The sequence below is a fragment of the Homo sapiens genome, chromosome 16, assembly GCF_000001405.40.
Source record: "Homo sapiens chromosome 16, GRCh38.p14 Primary Assembly".
Classification (NCBI taxonomy): domain Eukaryota; kingdom Metazoa; phylum Chordata; class Mammalia; order Primates; family Hominidae; genus Homo; species Homo sapiens.
In genome coordinates this window covers 20867892-20890469 of record NC_000016.10, presented here as the reverse complement: position 1 = coordinate 20890469, position 22578 = coordinate 20867892, and the positions used below count along the sequence as shown (strand labels likewise).

Here is a 22578-nt window from a genome sequence, read left to right as displayed (position 1 = left end):
TTTTTTTTTTGTAGAGATGGAGTCTTGCTTGTTGCCCAGGCTGGTCTCAAACTGCCTCAAGCGATCCTCTTGCCTTGGCCTCTCAAAGTGCTGGGATTACAGGTGTGGGCCCCCACACCCTCAGATCCCACATATTACTTACGCATTACCTCAAAATTGCCCCACTTCAGATGCCAGCTGCAGGTATTGGGTATTTGTACGTTACCTGAACTTCTGCCCAGCAGACTATAAATTTGGAGGTTCCCATGACTCCCCATCCCAGGTTTGATAATTTGCTATCATGAGTCATAGAACTCAGGAAAGCATGATATTTAGGATTACAGTTTTGTTACAAAGGATTTATTTATAACTCAGGAACAGCTGAATGGAAGAGACGCATAGGGCAAGGTATGAGTTGGGGGTGCAGAGCTTCCATGCCCCTTCTGGTGTGCCACTCCTAGCTCATAAATGCTTTTACCAACCTGGAAGCTCTCCCAGCCTCATTGTTTCGGAGTTCTGATTGAGGTTTCATTACTTAGGCATGATCATTGACCATTGGTGATTGAACTCTGTCTCTAGCCAGCCCTCCCCTCCCCAAAGCTCAGAAAGTAGGGCTTTGAGGTCTAATCATGTGCTTGGTCTTTCTGGTTTGGCTAGCCCTTCACTGGAAACTATAAGGGCCCATGGTGAAATCACCTTGTTAGCATAAACTCTGGCATGTGGTCCAGAGGGCTCTTCATGAATAATAAAAGACAGAAAATTCCAAGGGTTTTAGGATCTCTGGCAGGAACCAGGGACAAAGACCAAATACATTTTTCTAATACTCCATTAGTACTCCAGTTTTGTATCTTGTAAGTAGTAACGGAATAAGGGTACCTAAAGTTGATTTAAATGATAATTAACAATTGTCATTTCTTGACACACCAGATACTGCAAGTTGATTAGCTTTAGATTATAAGCAGCAAATTCCTCCTTCAATTAGTATGAAATGGCATTCCCAGAATAGTCAGTATTCTTGAACTTCAAAGGTGCATTAGGTCTAGACTTCCCTAATGCAAGAAACCAGCTTACTTTATAATACAGATTTCATGTTACCTTTTTTTTTTTTCTTCACTCTGTTGCCCAGCCTGGAGTGCAGTGGCACGATCTTAGCTCACTGCAACCTCTCCCTCCCAGGTTCAAGCGATTCTCCTACCTCAGCTTCCCGAGTAGTTGGGATTACAGGCATGTGCCACCACGCCTGGCTAATTTTTTTTTTTTTTTTTTGAGATGGAGTCTCACTTTGTCACCTAGGCTGGAGTGCAGTGGTGCGATCTCAGCTCACTGCAACCTCCGCCTCCTGGGCTCAAGCAGTTCTGCCTCAGCCTCCCAAGTAGCTGGGACTACAGGCATGTGCCACCACGCCCGGCTAATTTTTGTGTTTTTAGTAGAGATGGGGTTTCACTATATTGGCCAGACTGGTCTCGAATTCCTGACCTCAAGTGATCTACCCACCTTGGCCTCCCAAAGTGCTGGGATTACAGATGTGAGCCACTGTGCCTGGCCCTGGCTAATTTTTGTATTTTTAGAAGAAATGGGGTTTCATTATGTTGGCCAGGCTGGTCTCGAACTCCTGACCTCAAGTGATCCACCTGCCTCGGCCTCCCAAAGTGCAGGGATTACAGGTGTGAGCCACGGCACCTGGCCCATGTTACTTTTTAATATGACTTTTTAAAAGATTTAGATATACATAGTGGGCCAGGCATGGTGGCTCATGCCTGTAGTCCTAGCATTTTAAGAGGCCTAGCCAGGGAGGATCACTTAAGCCCACCAGTTCAAGACTAGCCTGGGCAACATGGTGAAACCCTGGCTCTACAGAAAATACAAAAGTTAGCCAGGCATGGTGGTGCCCGCCTGTGGTCCCAGCTACTTGGGAGACTGAGGAGAATCACCCTAGCCCGGAAAGTTGAGGCTGTAGTGAGCTGTGATCGTGTCACTGCACTCCATTCGGGGTGACAAAGTGAGACCCTGCTCAAAACAAACAAAAAATAGATGTACATAGTGCCTTGGTTAAGAGAACATAGTCTCTAGAGTCAGTCTGGGTTTGAGTCTGAACTTTATCACCGACTTGCCACTTGACCTTGGATGAGCCATTTCTCTCTCTAAGCCTCAGCTTCCTCATGTATGGAGTGAGGGTAATCACAGTAAATGGTTGTGAGGATTCAATAAGATAGTACATTCGAAGGACATGGCACAGTGCTGGGCATAAAAACAAACATTTAATAACATTAGCTATTATTGGCTACATGGCATCCATTGCTATGCCCACCTGGAATGGCAGCTAATTCCCAAGGAGTCAAGAATCATGTATATCATTTTACCTCCTCTTATAGTCAGTTTATGGGACAGTGTATAAAAAGATTGCTAGGCACACAGTAGACACAAGTTATGTATCATTTGAAAATAAAACCTGTCCTCTGGGTATCTGGGAAATACACTAGTGACTCTGTAATGGAAACTTCCAGCATGTTTCCAAAGCTGGCCTAAAACCCAGAGATGGAAAATCTTCCTCCTGAAACCCTATGGAGCCTGTATAAGTCTAGCAGTGGGGACAGGGGCTAGGATACTGTTGGATCAAAAATTGGGAAACTGATCCAGGAGACATTTTTATCTTTGACTGTATGCCTTGAGGTTCAGTGAGTTGGGCAAAACCACATTAGACTTTGGGAAAAGAAATAGATTTATTTCAGCCAGTCTAGATAATGTTTGACAGAGTCTCAGATAAAGAGAAAAGCCCAGATCCACATGCAAAAGGGCTTCCTGACTGCTTAGAGTTTACTTGTTGGTGAACTCCTCTGAGGCCAGGTCTCTAATTCTTCCTGTAGCTCAAGAACCAAGACAGTCTACTGTAGTGGGACTACCATTGGATTAAGTCCTTAGTTCTAGTCTAGACTCTGCCACCATTGCTGCTTTTCCTTGGGCAGATCACATCCCCTCTCAGTCTGTTTCTTTAACTATGACATAAAGGATTTAGGACTAAATCACTGTTTCTCAAAGTGTGGCTTTGGTTACACTTGTAATTTATGTGTTGCTGAAATGAATACTCATGTGTTTTTTTACTGCTGATGGTGCATAAGATGATTTTTGGTGGCACATGATGAATACTTTTCATTTACTAGTTCTGTTTTTTATTGTATTTACTTACTTTTTGAGATGGAATCTTGCTCTGTCTCCCAGGCTGGAGTGCAGTGGCGCTATCTTGGCTCACTGCAACCTCTGCCTCCTGGGTTCAAGTGATTCTCCTGCCTCAGCCTCCCGAGTAGCTGGGATTACAGGCACCCGCCACCACGCCCTGCTAATTTTTGTAACAGGGTTGCACCATGTTGGCCAGGCTGGTCTTGAACTCCTTACCTCAGGCGATCCACCCTCCTTGGCCTCCCAAAGTGCTGGGATTACAGGTGTGAGCCACAGCGCCCAGCCTACTAGTTCTGTTTTTTAATGTGTATGAATGAAAACATAACTATCATATCACACCTATGAATTCATGGACAATAGTGCTTAGGATGATACTAAAGTCATGTCAAAGACAAAATTGCAACCAATTTAGTTTCCAGATCTCAACTGGCTGTATTGCAATTCTAGAATTGGGCAATGTTTCATTCCATAATATAGAATAAGTGTTTAGATGAGCTAAAGCAGGAGTTGGCTTTATAGACAGAAGGGCTGAAGAAAGCAGAAGCAAAGAACAAAGAGTGTATCAGTCCTTTTAAAGCTGCTTTTCTTGTAAGGCAGGACAGGGAAACAGAACAATAGAGAAATAACTGAATAGTTAACATTAGATTACTTCAGACTTTTGTGTGTGTTTGTGTGTAAGGTTTAAAACTAGGGAACTTCATTATCGTGCCAGTTGAAGATTTAAACATGGAGTTTGGGAAGTTGGATGTTATCTCTTTCTCCTGGTTTCTGGGAAGGTCAGATAACAAACTTAGTTTGGGCATGAATGACTCCATTTTGATTTTTAGTCTGGTCTCTTGGAGCCTAGTGCAGGAGCTTAGTCCAGAACCATGGTCTTCTATCATTTTTATTTAACAGTAGATGCAGTTTTTAAAGAAGCTTTTAAGAAAAATATTAGGTGAACAGTAGATGGGATGGTAAAGATGGGATATGAATGGCTGAAGTTTGTAGGTTCCAAGACTCAGTAACTCTAGTGCAGCGCCACACCTTATTCAATGAAGTCTTTGTGGTGATGGCCACTGCTGAGCAGGTCCCGATTTCAGGACTTAAAGACTTGCCTTCAGAAGTCTCAGGCAAAAAAATAAAGACTTGACTAACTCAAGCAAATTGACAAATTTCTTTTTTTGCATTTGTGACAAAAATACCCACAAGTAGGTTATGTAGAATTTAAAATACCATAGCCATTAGTATTGGTGGCCTTTTTTTTTTTTTTCAATGAAAAAATGAATAATATTGTTTACTCTTTCACCTTTAGCAGTTTCCCGGCTACCTGGATTGCTCCTCAGTTCCTCATTGTTTGCTGTTGGGACTCCCCATGTTAGAAGTAAAGTTAGGGTCTGACTTGTTCTGTTGGGGTGGGAGAAAAAGCCTAATTGCTTCTTGAACCCAAGCCAGTGCATGGATTCAAGGCTCTGTCCCATCTCAAGAGCTGACCTGTAGATTACTTCTTCCTGGTGACTGCTTTAAAGGGACAGTGGGATATGTGCCCTAAAATGATGTTAAACACTGAGGCAGGCAGTATTTAAAATCTCATTTCACTTTGTCATATTGCTCATAATTCAACATAGTGGGGTCTTGAGAAGGGAAACGAGTAGTAGTAGAAATGATACAGACTACTGTGGGAGGCACTTGCTTTTTCAGTAAAACCCAGAATAAAATGGAAATCTCTGTTAAGCAATAGAAGCCGAAAAAGCTGCTTTCAGATGTAGTTTATGTTTTTTTTTTTTTAAAGCCTTAATTACCTGTAGTCCCTAAACATTTTCTGTGTATCTTTACACTGTCATCTTTTATTATCTACAGTTGGGGATTGGTCTGTGTTTGCAAGTGATCTTGTTCTGAGTTAACACGCTGTAAAGGGCCATGGATCTGGTATAGCTCCTTGTAATAAGTTATTTAGTGTTTCAGATTTTAGTTTTAAAAAATTGCTATAAAGATGGATCCAAGTCTGATAGGTCCCTGTGCCAAGTGTTACTAGTGAAGATTAGGTTAAAATAGAGCAAAATGCCGGGTGCAATGGCTCACACCTGTAATCCCAGCACTTTTGGGAGACTGAGGCGGGCGGAATCACGAGGTAAAGAGATGGAGACCATCCTGGCCAACATGGTGAAACCATGTCTCTACTAAAAATACAAAAATTAGCCGAGTATGGTGGCGGGTGCCCGTAGTCCCAGCTACTCAGGAGGCTGAGGCAGGAGAATTGCTTGAACCCAGGAGGCAGAGGTTGCAGAGAGCCAAGATTGTGCCATTGTACTCCAGCCTGGTGACAGAGCCAGACTCCGTCTCAAAAAAAAAAAAAAAAAGCAAAATGGTGGCAGTGATATAGCCCAACATTATTCTCCTAATTTATTTTATTTATTTATTTTGAGATGGGGTCTTACTCTGTTGCCCAGGCTGAGTGCAGTAGCCTAATCATGGTTCCCTGCAACCTCGAACTTCATTTATTTAATACAAGGTTTCTACATGACTTCATAATGAGAAACTCTCAAATGTTCCCCAACTGAGGTGGGATCTGTGCTTCAATTCCTCATACTTTGTAAATTTCGATTTTGTCATTCTTACTGTCTTGTCTCAGAGAGGTGTCGTGACCTGTGTCATTGGGCACATTGGCAAGGTGGAAAAAGCCTTTTACTGAAGGCTGTGTTTTGCAGGATTACAAGTCTGCCTTCCCACTAAGATCTAATTGATGACACGCAGCAAGCATCCTTTGAGCAGATTTTGAGTTCAAACCAAGCAACTCCTTGGATATACAATTATAAGACCACCTTACTTGTAGATGTCAGGTTTCTAGAACAGCCTATTTCCTGTGGTATGGAAGTTAGTCATTATGTGTAGGCAATGGTTGATGAGTCTGGATACATTCTGAAAGGGGAGGGGCCGAGTTGTGACATTCACCCTTGGTCTGCAGACCAAGTTTTGCAAAGCTAGAGTGGGGCTGTTTGTTTTCTTCTCTTCTTGGGAAATTGCCATTGGATCAGTTTGTCTTGGTTAAGATCTTTTGTGGGTAGCTGAGCAGTTGGGCTTTTAAAGATGAAAGCCACATGAAAGAAGACTGTTCTTTCCTAGTCATACAAATGATTATCTCCATGGTCGTATAATCTCCATAAGAAGTATGAGCATTCGAGACCACACATTTAAAAACTTAACATATAACAGAGTCAGAAGGAAAGATGTACAACATAGTGGCAGAGGTCAGTACCTTTACAAGCCATTCTTACATGTTCCAGCACCACTTATCGCGGTCTTCTCATGGTAGAATAACCTTTTAGTTTATCCAGAATCTTTTCACTCCTAAAATAAAGCCCTTTTAGGATGTTAGAAACTTGAATATTCATGGCAACTTCAAGTAAAAAAATAAAAATGTTTAATTGAAGACTTAATCTTTAACTCTGACTTTAAAACTTTCCTAGTCAAAGAGCTGGAGTTGCTTAATTTATCAGAGCATTTGCTTTTCCAAGTTCACAGCTCTCAATCGTTGATTGGCCTAGCAGAAAGAGATAATAAAAAGTTGTGCAACAGGTAAAAATCTTTCCAGTTGCCTTTTCCCCATTTGGAAGGAAACCTGTTTTTCTTTCCTTCTGAACAGTTTGGCCTAAGCTCCTCCCCTTTCTGATTTGCATATTTGCTATTTTCATACAGTACTTCAATTGATTCACTCAACAGAAAGTTCTAAAGATCTCCAGTATTTAATACTTCTGATACAACCAGCTTAAGCAAAAGAATTTTCAATTATGATAGCAGTTTAACAGAACAAAAATTTTTTTTTTTGAGATGGAGTTGCGCTCTGTCACCCAGGCTGGAGTGCAGTGGCTCGACCTCGGCTCACTGCAAGCTCCGCCTCTCAGGTTCATGCCATTCTCCTGCCCCAGCCTCCCTAGTAGCTGGGACTACAGGTGCCCGCCACCATGCCCGGCTAAATGTTTTGTATTTTTAGTAGAGACGGGGTTTCACCGTGTTAGCCAGGATGGTCTCGATCTCCTGACCTCGTGATCCGTCCGCCTCGGCCTCCCAAAGTGCTGGGATTACAGGCGTGAGCCACCGCATCCGGCCAGAACAAAACTTTCAAAAACACACTTTTAAAGTACTGAAGTTACTGAAACTCTGAAACCTGAAATGCTCCAAAATTTAGAACTTTTGATCCCTGACATGAGGCCCAAAGGAAATGCTCATTGAAGAATTTCAGATTTCAGATTTTCATATTAGGGATGCTCTACTGGTAAGTACAATGTTAATATTCTAAAATCTGAAGTTCAAAATCCAGAACACTTCTGGTCTCAAGCATTTGGGATAAGGGATACTCAACCTGTACAAGATATTTTCTCCCTAAGAAGAACCAGACTGTTATTTTTAAGTTAGAAATCTATAAGCAAAAGACTGGCATTCTCAGACAGAATGTGGACCATTCATAGGGTACTTCTGAAACTAAAAACCAGTTTTGTAAGCTAAAAAATGTTGGCCTCCAAAATGTAATGCTTTCATGGTTGTATTCAAAGTGAAGCGTATGTATTCTGAATTTTTCTGAAAGACTGACTCTAGGATTGGACACATCGTGTTTCAGGAAGAAGAAATGTGTTTATATGTTGCCAGCTACTTGTTCCAATAATTTTTAGTGCCTATTGTAGATCTTGCTCTTAAGGACTTTATTGTCTGGTTGGAACATAAGATAGTGACAATTAGAAAATGTTGTAAAACCAGTGCTGTAAAAATAGCAGTGCTGGCCGGGCATGGTGGCTCACGCCTATAATCCCAGCACTTTGGGAGGCTGAGGTGGGCAGATCACCTGAGGTCAGGAGTTCGAGACCAGTCTGACCAACATGGAGATACCCCGTCTCTACTAAAAAATATATATATATATACAAAATTAGCAGAGTGTGGTGGCACATGCCTGTAATCCCAGCTACTCGGGAGGCTGAGGCAGGAGAATTGCTTGAACCCGGGAGGTGGAGGTTTTGGTGAGCTGAGATTGCACCATTGCACTCCAGCCTGGGTGACAAAAGCGAAACTCTATCTCAAAAAAAAAAAAAAAAATAGCAATGTTATAAATGAAGGTGCTCAGGGGCAGAGAGGCTCTCAGTCAGGAAGGAGTCCTGTGGGAAGTAAAATCCCAGCATAAGGCATGAAAGACTAGAGAAAGGAATGGGGAGGGATTCTGAGCAGTGGTAACAGTGTGTATAAGACTAGGCCGGGCACGGTGGCTCATGCCTGTAATCCCAGTACTTTGGGAGGCTGAGGCGGGCAGATCACAAGGTCAGGAGTTTGAGACCAGCCTGACCAACACGGCAAAACCCCATCTCAACTAAAAATACAAGAATTAGCTGGGCGTGGTACCATGCGCCTGTAATCCTGGCTACTTGGGAGGCTGAGGTAGGAGAATCGCTTGAACCTGGGAGGCGGAGGTTGCAGTGAGCCAAAATTGTACCACTGCACTCCAGCACGCGTGACAGAGTGAGATTCTGTCTCAAAAAATAAAAAAGTAAACACATTTCCCCACCTAACTGAAAGGATGTTTGAAATTAGGGGAGCAGTTTGGTGAATTTCCTCTGTCTCTGTCACAGGCTAAGGGCTTGCATAAGCTGCTTTAGTTCTGAGCTTATTTCCTCATCCGTAAAATAGGGATAGCCATAGGAACCTCCGAGAGTAGCTGTGGAGAGTAAATGCTATCATGACTGTAAAATGCCTAACGTTGTTTCAGGCACAATAAAGGTGATGGAGGGAACGTTTATCAAGCTTGGTTGAGATTTCCAAGCTATGGGTCATATCTCATTGGTGGGTTATAAGCAACAATTAAAAACAAAATGGGAAAAAAAGAAAACAAATAGTGCAAATCAGTGCATCATAGAAGTAAGGGTAAATATTGAGTAGATTATTTATTTTGAGACAGGATCTTGCTCTGTCACCCAGGCTGGAGTGCAGTGGCACACTCATCGGTCATTGTAACCTCAAATTCCTGGGCTCAAGCAGTTCTCTCCCCTCAGCCTCCTGAGTAGCTGGGACTAGAGGTGTACATCATCACACCCACTTAATTGTTTTAAATTTTTTTGTAGAGACAGAGTATCGCTGTGTTGCCCAGGCTTGGGTAAATATTTAAAAGGTTAAATATTCATGGAACTTTTCTTTGAGTTGTACATGGCTTTATATGTGTGCATTGGGTAAGGATATAAAATATATTTCTCACTGAAGGTTGCAGTTAAAGTTTGAAAACTACTTGTATAGTCCAAACTCTCATTTCTCAGTGACTCAAAGACTTAGCACACCAAAGCAAACAAAAAACCACTCTATCGGAGTATGCTGTTTTGAAAGAAGCAATTTAAACCTTCAGGCTTAAAAAAAAATAGCTTTGAAAAGCATCCTTAATTTAAGAGTCTGAATTTTGGCTCTGCTGCTTACTATCTCCTAGGGTATTATTATTGGAGAGTTGGATTGTTTTATTAGTTGATATGTGTAAAAATGTTTTGAGAATGATGCCTGGTACGTAGTAAACCTTGGGAAACTATTTGTGGATGTTACTATGTAAAAGTGGTAGTACTCTGCATTTAGGTAGATTTGTGCAGTGCACTAGGGACATAGTAGGTGCTTATTTTCCATTTGATTCTTTAGAAAGTATCTCTTAGATGCCAGTTAGCCATTTTCTTTTCTTTTTTCTTTTTTCTGTTTTTTTTTTTTTTTTTTTTTTTTTGAGACAGGGTCTTACTCTGTCACCCTGGCTGGAGTACCCAGGCATGATCACTGCTCACTGCAGTCTCAGCCCTCTGGGCCCAAGGGATCCTCCTATCTCAGTCTCCCAAGTAGCTGGGACCACAGACATGTACCACCAAGGCTGGCTAATTTTTTTATTTGTGATTTTGTAGAAATTGGGTCTCCCTATGTTGCCCAAGCTGGTCTCGAACTACTGGGCTCAAGCAGTCCTCCTGCCTTGGTCTCCCAAAGTGCTGGGTCTGCAGGTGTGAGCCTTCGCATTATGCCAAGTTGACCCTTTTTGTGTCATCATACACATTCCCTGTCTTCTTGGAGCTTGCAGTCTAAGATGCTGTCACTAAAATGACAACAGCCTTTCTCTTCTATGTACTTTTTATATTTGACTATTTGCTTGGGAGCCATGAATGTTTTTGTCCCAAGGGAATAAATAATGTGTAATGCATTTAAGCCTTGGACGCACGATAGACATAATAAAGTATATTATAATAAAATGTCATCTTAGGCACTTAAAAAATTCGGTTTAAGGACTTACTGGGAGGGAGAAATTACGGAACATTTTCTTTTCTGGTTCTTAAAATATGTTTTTGGCCTGGAAGAAACAAGTGTCAAAGTTGTTTTTAAGATTATTAGGTTGACTTCTCTTACAGTGAGTAGTTGGTGTCAGCAAATTGATTTGCAATGAGAAAGATGACTGTGCCTTTTGCTGAGCAGTGGTGGATAATGAGACTTCCACTTCAATAAGCCCATTGGCAATACCGAGTCATAACCTGGGTGAATAGGAGTTAATCTTGGCTGCCTGGCAGAAGTGGATTTGTTATATAATTTATGATACCCAGAAATCCTTTGGGGAGGTCTTTATTATCTTATTATCATGACAGTATCCATCTATGCCTGAAGATTAATTTTTGTTGTTCTCATCTAGTTCCACCAGAGCGATTCTCCTAACTGAAAGGGTAGTGACTTGTTAAATGCCTGCATTTGGCTTTTGCTTTGACACAAAGGTATGCTAATCAAGATTGGATGTTAGCAATCCAGAAATATTTCAGTTAGTGATTTATTAATAGTTTAGAGATTTTTTTTTCTCCTGTTAAACTGACTTCTGAAAAATGAGTCATATTCAGGGTTTCAAACATTTCCTCTTTGACCAGCCTCAAAAAAGGTTTATCAGTGTTTGTCTTGTAGATTGTTGCTGCAATTCATTTGTGTCAGTTCTGCCACTGCTGAAACAAACACAAGAGGGGTATCAGTTTGGTTTTCCATCATTTGACACAAGCGGACTTCTTAATTCTGTCACTGGTGGACGATCACTGTTAAACAAGCCGGTACTATTTTTTATGACTCACTGAGAAGTCATGTGGTAGTGTGATACCCCGTCTCCAGCTACCAGTGTTTAAACTTGTAATTTTCAATATATTGTGTTAAAACAGACTTCTAATTCTGGCTATTTTTCTTTTCAATTTTAGGCCTAAAATTGGAAGCTCTGTTTTTATAAAACAGCCTCCTAGAAAAGTCACCGGTGTTGCTATTCTCTTTCTACCCCAAATATCATAACTGGGCCTGGGGGCGGGCAGAGTAAGAGCTGGCTGTTTCACATGGTTAAGCAGAATGTGTGGGTCTGCCAGCCAGCGGAGGTGGAATCTGCCCTTTGCTTTCTCAGCAAGTACCTCTGGCTTTGGGGGCCCCGTTGAGGACTTTAGTTGTTGGCCTTTCTCGCAGTCATGTGAAACAAAGTTCATTGTCTCTGGTGGCTGTAAAGAGATGGAGGACCTTTATTGTCTGTATCACTTACCCTCTTTGATAAGGTATGTGCTTCAGCCCTCCAAGTTAAAAGTCACTCTGTCATCAAGTGAACAGTGGTATAACATCTCAAGAGGTGTAACACTGGCCATGAGTCCTTGTGTTTTAAGCAGTTGAATTCGTATTTAAAGCAAGTAGTATGCAGTATTCAAAAAAGCTGCTGGCTGTTGCTCCTGCATCTCTAGACACCTTAAATATGATGCCTTTATTTGTTGAGGTGGGGAAGATGCAGTTCAGACCAGCAGCCTGAGGCTTTTCACTGGAGTGTTCCCAGTTGGTGAGCCCCTTGGTCTTCCTAGAGTGCAGTGCATGGCTGTGGCTTCAGTAAACCCTTGGACATAACACCCTGACTGAAAAGAGAGGCAGAAGTGATTTCCATTAATGTGAATTTTTTCTAAGATCCTGAGGTACAGGTCAAAAAGAGACATGACAGGTTGAACATCTCCCTATGTCAGCTTCATATTCTGGCTTTTGCTGTATTTGAGGTGAAAATTAGCTTGTGAAGTGAGGAGAGATGGACCTGTGTACTGCTGGCTGAGAAGCTGTGTTTGTATCACATTATCTGAGAAACTCATAAGGTAAAGAATAATTGGAGTAATAAGATAATCCTCTCCTCTCTTTCCTCTCTGAAGGTAGTGGGTGCTTCGAATGGGGGGAGTCCAAGAAAAAATAGACCTTAAGAATCAGGGCTGGGCCCAGTGCTCACACCCATAAACCAAGTGCTTTGGGAGACTGAGGCAGAAGGATTGCTTGAGCCCAGGAGTTCGAGACCAGCCTGGGCAACATAGCAAGACCCTGTCTGTACAAAAATAAAAATGAAAAAAGTAGCTGGGTGTGGCACCATGTGCCTGTAGTCTTAGCTGCTTTGGGAGGCTAAGGTGGGAGGATCGTTTAAGCCCAGAAGTTTGAAGTTAACAGTGAGTTATGATTGCACCACTGCACTCTGGGCTGGCAACAGAGCCAGATCCTGTCTCTAAAAAGAAAAAATCAGCTCTTGAGAACTGAATTGAGTTCTGCATTCTTAGGACTCAACTCCCTTTACTCTTTCCTGTTGAGTGTTTGTTGACATCATCCTATAATTTGAATTGGTATAAATAGCTACCATTTATTGAGTATTAATTGTGTGTGAGAAAGTGCTAAACATCTCAGATTCAGCATTTATTCAATCACGAGTTAATATATTTAAAGCAATAAAGCCTTGTACAGAGCATGTGCTCAGTATCAGTGACTATTATTCCTTCTACAGATACTTATCAATGTGCCATGTGCCACATAGCCTAGGTGCACAGGGTAAAGTGGCGAATAAGGCAGGTAAAATGCCTGCTATTAGAGGGAGCAGGCAATAAATAAGTCAGCAAATTAGAATTTCACAGAGTTGTAAGTGCCGTGAAGAAGTAAAACAGCGTTGTGCTGAATTAGAGGGAAGTGGCATTTGGATTGGTTGAACATGGAACACATGTCAGCACGTGAACTGAGACCCATCTCATATGAAGCAGCCATTTATTCTTCACCGTGACCTTTTTTTTTTCATCGCAGAACTCAGTCCCATTTTTTTGTTAATTGATAAATAATATATGTAGTTTTGAGACATGTGATAATATGATACATTCACATTATGTGTAAAAATCAAATCAGGGTAATTGGGATATTATATCACCTTAAATATTTATCTTTTCTTTATGCCGGGATCATTTAAATTATTCTCTTCCACCTATTTTGAAATGTACATTAGATTATTGTTGACTGGAGTCACCCTACTGATTTTTCCAACGCTAGGTCTTACTTCTGTTTGTACCCACTAACCCACTTCTTTTCATCTCCCCTCCCGCTCCCCTTCCCTGCCTCTGGTAACTACCTAGAGAAGATAACTGTCTCTCTCTTCCTGAGATCCACTTTTTTAGCTCACACATGAGTGAGAACATGTGCTATTTGTCTTTCTGTGCTTGGTTTATTTCACTTAACGTAATGACCTCTAGTTCCAACCGTGTTGCCTATGACAGGGTTTCATACTTTTTTATGGCTGAATAATATTCCATTGTGTATATGTACCACATTTTCTTTATCCATTCATCCATGGATGGGCACTCAGGTGGATTCCATATTTTGGCTATTGTGAATAATGCTACAATAAACATGGGAGTGCAGATCTCTCCAGTATATTGATTTTCTTTCCTTTGCACATATACCTAGTAGTGCAATTGCTGGATCATACAGTAGTTCTATTTTCAGTTTTTTGAGGGCCCTTTATACTGTTTTCCATAGTGGCTATACTCATTAACATTTCCACCAACAGTATACGAGGGTTCCCATTTTTCCACATCCTTGCCATTCATTATTCTGTTTTTTTTTTTTTTCATAACCATTTTAACTGGGGTGAGATAATATTTCGTTGTGGCTTTTATTTACATTTCTGTGATGATTAGTGATGTTGAGCATTTTTTCGTATACCTGCTGGCTATTTTCATGTCTCCTTTTGAGAAACATCTATTCAGATCTTTTGCCCATTTAAAAATCAGATTAGAGTCGGGCACAGTGGCTCGAGCCTGTAATCCCAGCACTTTGGGAGGCTGAGGCAGGCGGATCACCTGAGGTCAGGAGTTTGAGACCAGCCTGGCCAACATGGTGAAACACTGTCTCTACTGAAAATACAAAAATGAGCTGGGCCTGGTGGCATGCGCCTGTAATCCCAGCTACTCGAGAGGCTAAGGCAAGAGAATCACTTGAACCTCGGAGGTGATTGGTTGCAGTGAGCCGAGATCATGCCACTGCACTCCAGCGTGGGTGACAGAGTGAGACTCTGTCTCAAAAAAAATAAATAAATAAAATAAAAATCAGATTATTATTATTATTATTTTGCTATTAAGTTGTTTGAGCTCCTTATATATTCTGGCTGTTAATCCCTCGTCAGATGGATAGTTTGCAGATTTTTTTTCCCATTCTGTGGATTGTCTCTTCACATTGTTGATTGTTTACTTTGCTGTGTAGAAGCTTTTTAGCTTGATATAACCCCATTTGTCTCTTTTTGCTTTGGTTGCCTGTGCTTTTAAGGTCTTACACAAAAAATCTTTGCCCAGACCAGTGTCCTAGATCATTTCCCCAGTGTTTTCTTCTAGTAGTTTCATAGTTTCATGTCTTATATTTAAATCTTCAATCCACTTTGATTTGATTTTTGTATATAGTGTGAGAGAGGGGATCTAGTTTTATTCTTCTGCATATAGTCATTTAGTTCACAGTGATTTGTTTTAGTTCCCGTTTTCAACTGAGAAGACTGAGATGGAATATGGTTAAGTGTGAGCTAGAGAGTTGGTAGAGCTGGGCTGTACAAACCTAGTCATTTTGCATCCAATGCATGTACTTTCCCTCCTGGAAGGCACATGACTATACTGGAGCAGCTGAAGGAGCTGCAATATCTGTGCAACTGGTTTTTGAGTGAGAGAATTGAATGTTGGTTGCAGAACAGTCAAGACACTGAACGCAATTCAGAAAAGTTGCATGTAATTTCATGGACCCCCTATTGTTGGATGCAACATTTGTGTGTGTGTGTGTGTGTGTGTGTGTGTGTGTGTGTGTGTGTGTGCATGAGCGCACGCAGTTTATTCTGGGGCCATAGTTGTCTTTGAGTCTTCAGACTTATTGATGACTGAAAGAACTTATGGTGCTGCTGCTTTATTTTATAAATTTTTTATGTTGTTTCTTAAAATAGGGCATAGCTGCTAGGGCAGGGTTTTAATAGACAGCATTGTGGTGGCCATTAGGTGGCAGCAATTTTGGCAGGTCATGTGGGTGGGAAGTGGGCAGGAACGAATCATCAGATGTCTTACTTTGCAAAGCTTGCAGTACCACAGTGCCTTCCAACAGGTATAGAGCTCCATTTTTAATTACCTGCTTATCTTTGCACATGTTAATGTACTCTGGGGCCTCATGCTACATGAGCATTTGTGAAAATAAGTAACTTAAAAAAAAAAATCAAAGCCTAAACCTTGGGGCCTCAAGTTTCAACCTGCAGAGAACGTATTCAAATAAAGATGTGCAAACATGAGCATTTCCTGTCAGTCTTTGAAACTTAAACACTTTCTTAATAGGCTCTTCGGCATGTAAAATCAAAGAGAAATTGTCTCAGTGATAGGAATTGAAACCAAGAGGGTAGCCAAGTTCAGGTTAGATTTGGGCTTTCAGTTTCATGGGATATGGTTTAGATCAAATACCTGTTTCAGCTGGAAGGTTGATCATGTTATTGTACAGAGAAAGACTTCTGAGAGATTTTTGCTTTCAGCCTTTCACATGGTGTCTGAATGCTGGGACGGGGTTCCTCTTTGGGAACAAGATGATGACAGCAAATATGTACACAATAGAATAAAGCTCCTGAAGTATTCTGTGGCATATCTACTTGAAGGAGGTCTAACGGTGTAAAAATTGCAATTGGAAAGATTCTTGTAGCCAGTTAGTCATACCATCTTTTAAATAGCATCCTACTGGTCCACGTAGTTATAATGGAATTTGACAGCTTTCATGAACTTGGGATCATTGGTCCTGTTGTTCAGCTAAGGGTCCTATGATATATTCGACTAGAAATTGTGGCCTAGTCAGTTGGTTCTGAACCATGAATCAGAACATCTGGCAATTAGATCTTCTCTCTCTTTGCTCTCTGAATAGAAGAGATCTGAGTGACATAGCTGTGTCTTGGTAGGGACTCTTTCAGTTGTGATAGAAAACCTGATATCTAACTTATGCAAAGGAGAGTTTGTTGGCTCACACCTGTGAAGTTCAGGCTTTGATCTTGACTCTAGGAACAGTTGGATTCAGGGTGTAAATAATGCCTTCAAAATTCAGTTTCCCTTTGTCTCTTCATACTGCTTTCCACTTGGTGATTTCATTTTTGGGTTCTACATGCATTTGAGCTGAGCCCCATGTGATAAACAGGGACCATTTAATCCTCACAGTGACCCCCTAGGCATTCTTATTTTCTCTGGTAGCTCTTTCTGGTAGCATCTCCAGCCTCCTGTATTTTCAGGGTTGAGATTCTGTCTGGCTGGCTTGTCATGGGCATATCCTGGGTCCAGTCATTAAAGCCAGGGGCATGTGAGGCCTTGGTGGGGCTGAGTCCCATAGTTCTTTATGAACCCCACCCAGCCATATGGCCGAGAGCGAGGGAAAAGGATCTGCTGGTGAAAATTGGGTAATCACCTGATGAAGAGCCTGGATGCTGGGAAGGCAGACACGTCTGCTACAAATCTGTCCTTTGACCCAGTCTGCAGCTTGACAGCCCATGTTAGTCTTCACACTAAATCCAGCCCATTGACCATTTCCAGGCATTCCACATTTCTCTTTTGAATGAGCCTCTTGCTCCCTGGGAATGTGAATCACTCAATCCATGGGCCAGACCCTTCTACCCCTGATGTTAAACCTTTGATAAGGGGACTGTTACTCATTAGACCTTAAGATGGTCATCATCTTTGTCCTCTTCTTTTCCTTGGAGGGAGTGTGAGGAGGAAGTTGATCTTCTTTTGAAAGAATAAATTGAGGAAATTTAGATATAAGTGAAAGATGTCTTTAGGATTAAGCTGCTTTTCTCCCCATTCCCCCATCATTTAAAAACACTTCCTTAAAATCCCTGGAGCCAGAATCACTGGATCATTGGATTGGTTAGTTGTTTTTTTTTTTTTTTTTGAGACAGAGTCTCGCTCTGTAGCCCAGGCTGGAGTGCAGTGGCACAGTCTTCCTCACTGCTACCTCTGCCTCCCAGGTCCCACTTCAAGCAGTTCTCCTGCCTCAGGTTCCCAAGTAGCTGGGATTACAGGCATGTGCCACCATGCCCAGCTAATTTTTGTATTTTTAGTAGAGACGGGGTTTCACCATGTTGGCCAGGCTGGTCTTGAACTCCTGACCTCGTGATCCACCTGCCTTGGCCTCCCAAAGTGCTGGGATTGCAGGCGTGAGCCACTGCGCCTAGCCTGGTTAGCCTTTTTGATGTGATTCGCAGTGAAGCAAGACTGAAAGGATATACTCCAAAATATTAACCGTAGGTGGTGAAATTAGTGATTGGCTTTTTTTTTCTTTATGCCTCTCTGTACTTTCTAAACTTCACAAAATAATTATGTAATACTTTTGAATTTGCCAGCAGGAAAGAGAGTCTAGTGACCTCACTTTTCTGACCAGGTTACTGATGTGGTTGAAAGCAGGAATTCTTTTATTGTGTGGATCTTTTCTGTCCCTCTTCCTCTTCCTGTCTGCTATGCATTAGCAGTCAACCTCCATCGTGGGGAAAAAGCTGATAAATGTGGTCTTAATGGATTTAGATTTTTTTTTTTTTTTTTAAGAATTAGCAAACATTAAGAGGTTGATTGGTTACCACGTGGTGAACCTGAGGCCTACTTAGAGGCCTTTGGCTCCCGAAACCACATATCTACATTTGTGGTCATCCAGGTGCCCTTTAAGACATTTGGATGCAGTCATTTATCATCTGTATGTTGTGTTCCTTCGTCGTCTTTGGACTCATTTCATAATTTCCTTTCTTGCCTTTTACTTAGATGCAAAAATCTAACCTTATCTCCAGTTCACTAATTTTCAGTGAGTTGCTGACTCCCAAGTTCTCAGAAGGTGATTGAAAAATGAGCAGTTGATGTGGTAATTGGGTGTTTTGAGGACTAATCAGCTACAATCAGGTAAACCTCCAGGGTGGCTGATAACCATATGCTGACTGGAAGGAGGGTATTAGTGCTAATCAGTGGTTTACTTTCAGTGGGCTCTACTGAGGCTCCATCCTAAGGAATAAAACAAGCTGCAAGCTTATAACGGAGATGAAGAGTGCAGCAGGCATGCCGTTTTTATTAGAGTTAAGGTTCAGTACAAATCCAGGATGGCTTTCTGGTTTTAAACAGGGAAAGTCACTGGAAAAGCTGGTGTGAAAACAAAGAATGACCTAGAAATTTGGTGCCCATTTATGATGCTCCCCCTTGCACATAAGTGGGTAGTTAGAAATGCCCAGATCAATAGTGACAGCAAAAAATATTTCAAGTATGGGTCAGTGAAATGATATAGCCCTTTTTTGGTTATTTTGAGTTATGTGGGATTAAACATGTAGCTCAGTTTGGAAGCCCAGAGACCAAAAAAATGGTTCATTATTTGGTATTTGGAAACTTTATAGTATGTGCGTGTGTTGGCTTGGCTGTATTTGGCAAGTAGGCATTTGTTCTAGCCAGCCCACACTGGCTTCAGTCCTGAGGCCTCAACTGGACATATATTCTTAGTAGTGAATTCAAAGGGTGCAATGCGAGGGACATTGAGAACACTTTCAAAAAGAAATGACTTTATGCTAAACTGGCTGGTCTTAGTCATGTGACCTAAGATGATTTTTATAGAAACATAGCCAGTTTTCTTTTTTAAAAGTTTTCTCTGTCCTCCCTACCCCCTTTCTCCCTTCCTTCCTCCCTCTTTTCTTTTGCACTTTTGAGATTGGTTGATGTAAAAAGTCATGGGTTCCTCCCCAACCCTAACTGGAACTGCTGTTGCTTGTTGCTGCTGTACATTTTAGGACAAAAAGTCTTTTAAAAGCTGGAAAATAGAAGCAGACGGGTCTCGTTTGCTTTGGCAGAGGGATCAACTTTCCCTCCCAAGTAGCTCTGGGTAAGACCTAATCTCCAAAGGTGATCTTTGAAGTCTTAAGTTGGAAGTGGCAGCAGCAACTGTGCATTTAAAGTGTTCCCTCAGTCTTCCTTGTTATTTTTGCACATTTACTTTCTAGGAAGTAGTTTACAAATGGACACCAGCCATATTCCGTCTTTTTCTCAGGTCATTCAGAGTCTTGCTCCCAGGTGGGATCAAGGGGCTCCTGTGGTCCTTGAGACTCTCCGGAGGATGGCTGTGCCAGTACAACCGCCTCAGCCCCTGGCAGCTGTAGAAAAGCTGTCTGAGGAATTCATGTACTTATGTTCTCTGGCCTTTGGGTATCTGACATATGTAGGAAGAAATAAAAAGCTGCACCCAGCTAGCTCTACAAACTATTTAGATGAAAGTTGAAAAGATGGGCTTTTTATATTGTTAATATGTAGGAGCACCAGCATCTGGCAGTGGTTTCTTGCTGCTGAATAGATTCTAGATGGGAACAGAATGGAGGAGTGGAATGGATTGGTCCCTTCTGTCAAGGAAGCCTCAGAGCAGATCTCAAGTGCTTTGCTGACACTGACTTTTGGTGCCAGCATTTGCCTCCTGTTTTTTAGCTCCTCATTTCACAAGTCTGTTCCTTGGGTGACAGGCTGTCCATTAGTAGTAGCCAACATGCATTCCTCTGAGTGGGCTTCCTGACCCAGCGAGCTGCAGCAGTTTACTTGGGTCTGTTTTCCATGTCTGGACCTGTTACTGACCCTCCAGAGATCAAACTAAGATGATTAAGGAGAGGGAAGGCTGCAAAACTGGTGTTTCCTATCCCTCGTTGTTCAGATTGGAGTAGCCCTGCTTTCCCTCTGCTTTTGGACTTCTGCTTTTTCTTTGACTCTGATAGTCTTGGGCAAGGAGTAGTGTGAGATCTGTTCACCAAGGAGGCAAAGTGCCTGTCCTTAGGAGGGTTGCACATTTAGAACTTTGGCCTCACTGAATGCCAAAAAAGGTGAAGTAGTCCCAGAATATTAGACCTTGGAAAGACTAACCCAGACCTCTCACTTTAATGTCAGTGTCACAGAAACTCAGAGAGGTTAAGTGGCTTGCTCGAGAGTGCACATTGCTCAGGAGGATTTCACACCAGAACCAAAGGCTTCCTGGGGGCGTATTCTGTTCCTATTGACTTGGTTCCTCAGGAATATACTTAGGCATTGATAGGATGTTGGACATTTTCTTCTTGGGGCACCAGGACCTCCTTAGGGGTAGGGGAATATCCTGGCACACATCATAGCAGAGAACAGTAGTGAGACCAGTGATGGAAAGTGGCGAGTTTAGAGTCAGACTGCCTGGATTTGAATCCTTCTCCTCCATTGGCTGTGTGACCTCAGGCTACCTCCCTCAAGCTCTATTCACTTCCTCCCTCTGTAAAATGAAGATTATATTGTCTTCCTTATAGAGTCGTGGATTACATGTGATAATTCATGCCAATAAATATATGTAATTATTTTTACAATATTGTTATTAATATACATTAATAACATGAGCCAACCATATCAACCCTCTCCCTCCTCCTTTCCATTTCATGCTTATAGACATTTAAGGACCAGAATTAAACCTGCCTTCTCTCTGAAACTTGCCCATGGAAAGTCTGGCAGACTGGTTTTATTTTCCAGCCTTACTGCTTAGTAGTTAAGAGACCTGTTTCCTAATCTATGAAAGCTGCAACAACTATTTTCTTGAGGTTGTTGGGAGGCTTGAAGGTGATGATGAATATGAAGCATGTAGCCCCAGGCTCCACAGATACTGATTTCACGTCCCCAGTCCCTCCCTACCTTTCTTTCCGTAATAGTAGTTCACACTTCTCTCTCCTTCTCCTGTCTGCATTTGTACAGAGTCTCAGTGTGAGTTTGTCCTCTGTGGTGGTTCTGTTCTGTAAGACACAGTTGAGAGTAAGCCCCTAGAAGACAGGGACTTGCCTGGTTGTCATTTCATGATCTGCCTAGGAGATGGGAACAACTTCCTGATCCCTCTTTGGAGCTAGAGCAACCCAGGGACTGCAGCCTCTGGGATTGCCCTTTGGGCTCAGCAGTGGCCGCTCCAGGCCTAGGACCAGGCAGCCAGCCAAGCCCATCCCCAGGAACAGCGGCCAGCGCTGGCACAGGGGAGGAAAGAGTCTGGAGGCTGATGTGCAGAGGAGGGAGGGAGAGGCAGAGCAGCTGGGCTGAGACTGAGGGAGAGAAGCTGGAGGCTGATCTTGGTCCAGCAGAAGCTGAGCAGAGCTGCTGTCTTTGGTCTTTCAGGTAAACACTCAAAGCTATAAGTAGAAAAGAAAAAAAGCCTAGAAGTTGGTTTCCCCAGTGCATGGGTTTTTTTTTTCCTTCTTTCTTCTGCCTTTTCTTTCTCCACATCCCTCCTTGTCTCTGGCTCCATTCAACCCATTTGTGTCCCTTGCTAATGCAGGAGAATGGTCACTTATTGTGAGCAGACCTGAATCGCTATGGGAGATCTGGGCTGGCTCCTGAAAAGAGCACTGTTCTAGGAGAAGGGAGACGATTCTGTCACCAAAGTTGTGACAATAATTATAACTATTATAGAGGCTAACACCAACCAAATGCTTTCTGTGAGTCAGGTATTGAGCAGAGCATTTACCTGCGTTATTTATTCTACCCAATAGTGCTTTGAGGTACAACTGCCTCGATTTAAAGTTCCATGCGGACAGTTCCCATTATTTGGTGAGATTGCCATGGCAATGGCAATGGTTTGTCTTGGTTTGTCTGAGCTCATCCTCTTCATCACTGCGCTTCTGTTTCCTCCATTCCTAAATAGACTCCTTGACCTCAGTTTGTCTGTGTTTAGTTTCCTGTAAAATGGGGGTAATTGCTTCACAGAGCTACATTTATATATAGCTTTCTTAATGTATTAACAAATACCAAATGATATTCAGGACTAATAATGCTCTGTTGCTGTTGAAAATTTGGTGCTGGGATGTCCAGATTGTGCTGAGGCTGTCCACTTCAGAGGTGGCAGTGATGGGGAGGAGGACCAACTGGGAAGGCAGTTCCATTAAATTAGTAACTGAGTGGAAAGCTAGACATCCTTTCTTTTGCAGAGATCTACAGAGTTGGGACTAAGTGGAGAGGGGAAGGAGTTTGGAACTGGCTGAAAGCCTGCTCCAGGTTAGGGACTGGGCATAACCAGCAATTCATTGTCCGTTGGGCACAGCAGATACTCAGCTTGATTTTATTCAGGATCAATCACAAGGAAATCCTGTGTTGTGGAGAGTCTGATCCTCCAAGCATTACT

At 42.1% G+C, this 22578-nt stretch overlaps 1 protein-coding gene across 1 annotated transcript in view, besides 4 other annotated features; it reads left to right on the top strand.

Annotated features, from left to right (window-relative positions):
* Positions 1-22578, top strand: part of DCUN1D3 (defective in cullin neddylation 1 domain containing 3) — a 45434-nt gene that overhangs the window by 9889 nt on the left and 12967 nt on the right. The window lies entirely within an intron of this gene.
* Positions 11398-11467: an enhancer, noted in NCBI's record as "active region_10545". NCBI's record gives its function as "activates an Ori minimal core promoter by ATAC-STARR-seq in GM12878 lymphoblastoid cells {active_cell/tissue: GM12878}" and the evidence as "EXISTENCE:reporter gene assay evidence [ECO:0000049][PMID:35858748]".
* Positions 14812-14891: a silencer, noted in NCBI's record as "silent region_7246". NCBI's record gives its function as "represses an Ori minimal core promoter by ATAC-STARR-seq in GM12878 lymphoblastoid cells {active_cell/tissue: GM12878}" and the evidence as "EXISTENCE:reporter gene assay evidence [ECO:0000049][PMID:35858748]".
* Positions 15538-15757: an enhancer, noted in NCBI's record as "active region_10544". NCBI's record gives its function as "activates an Ori minimal core promoter by ATAC-STARR-seq in GM12878 lymphoblastoid cells {active_cell/tissue: GM12878}" and the evidence as "EXISTENCE:reporter gene assay evidence [ECO:0000049][PMID:35858748]".
* Positions 16008-16107: an enhancer, noted in NCBI's record as "active region_10543". NCBI's record gives its function as "activates an Ori minimal core promoter by ATAC-STARR-seq in GM12878 lymphoblastoid cells {active_cell/tissue: GM12878}" and the evidence as "EXISTENCE:reporter gene assay evidence [ECO:0000049][PMID:35858748]".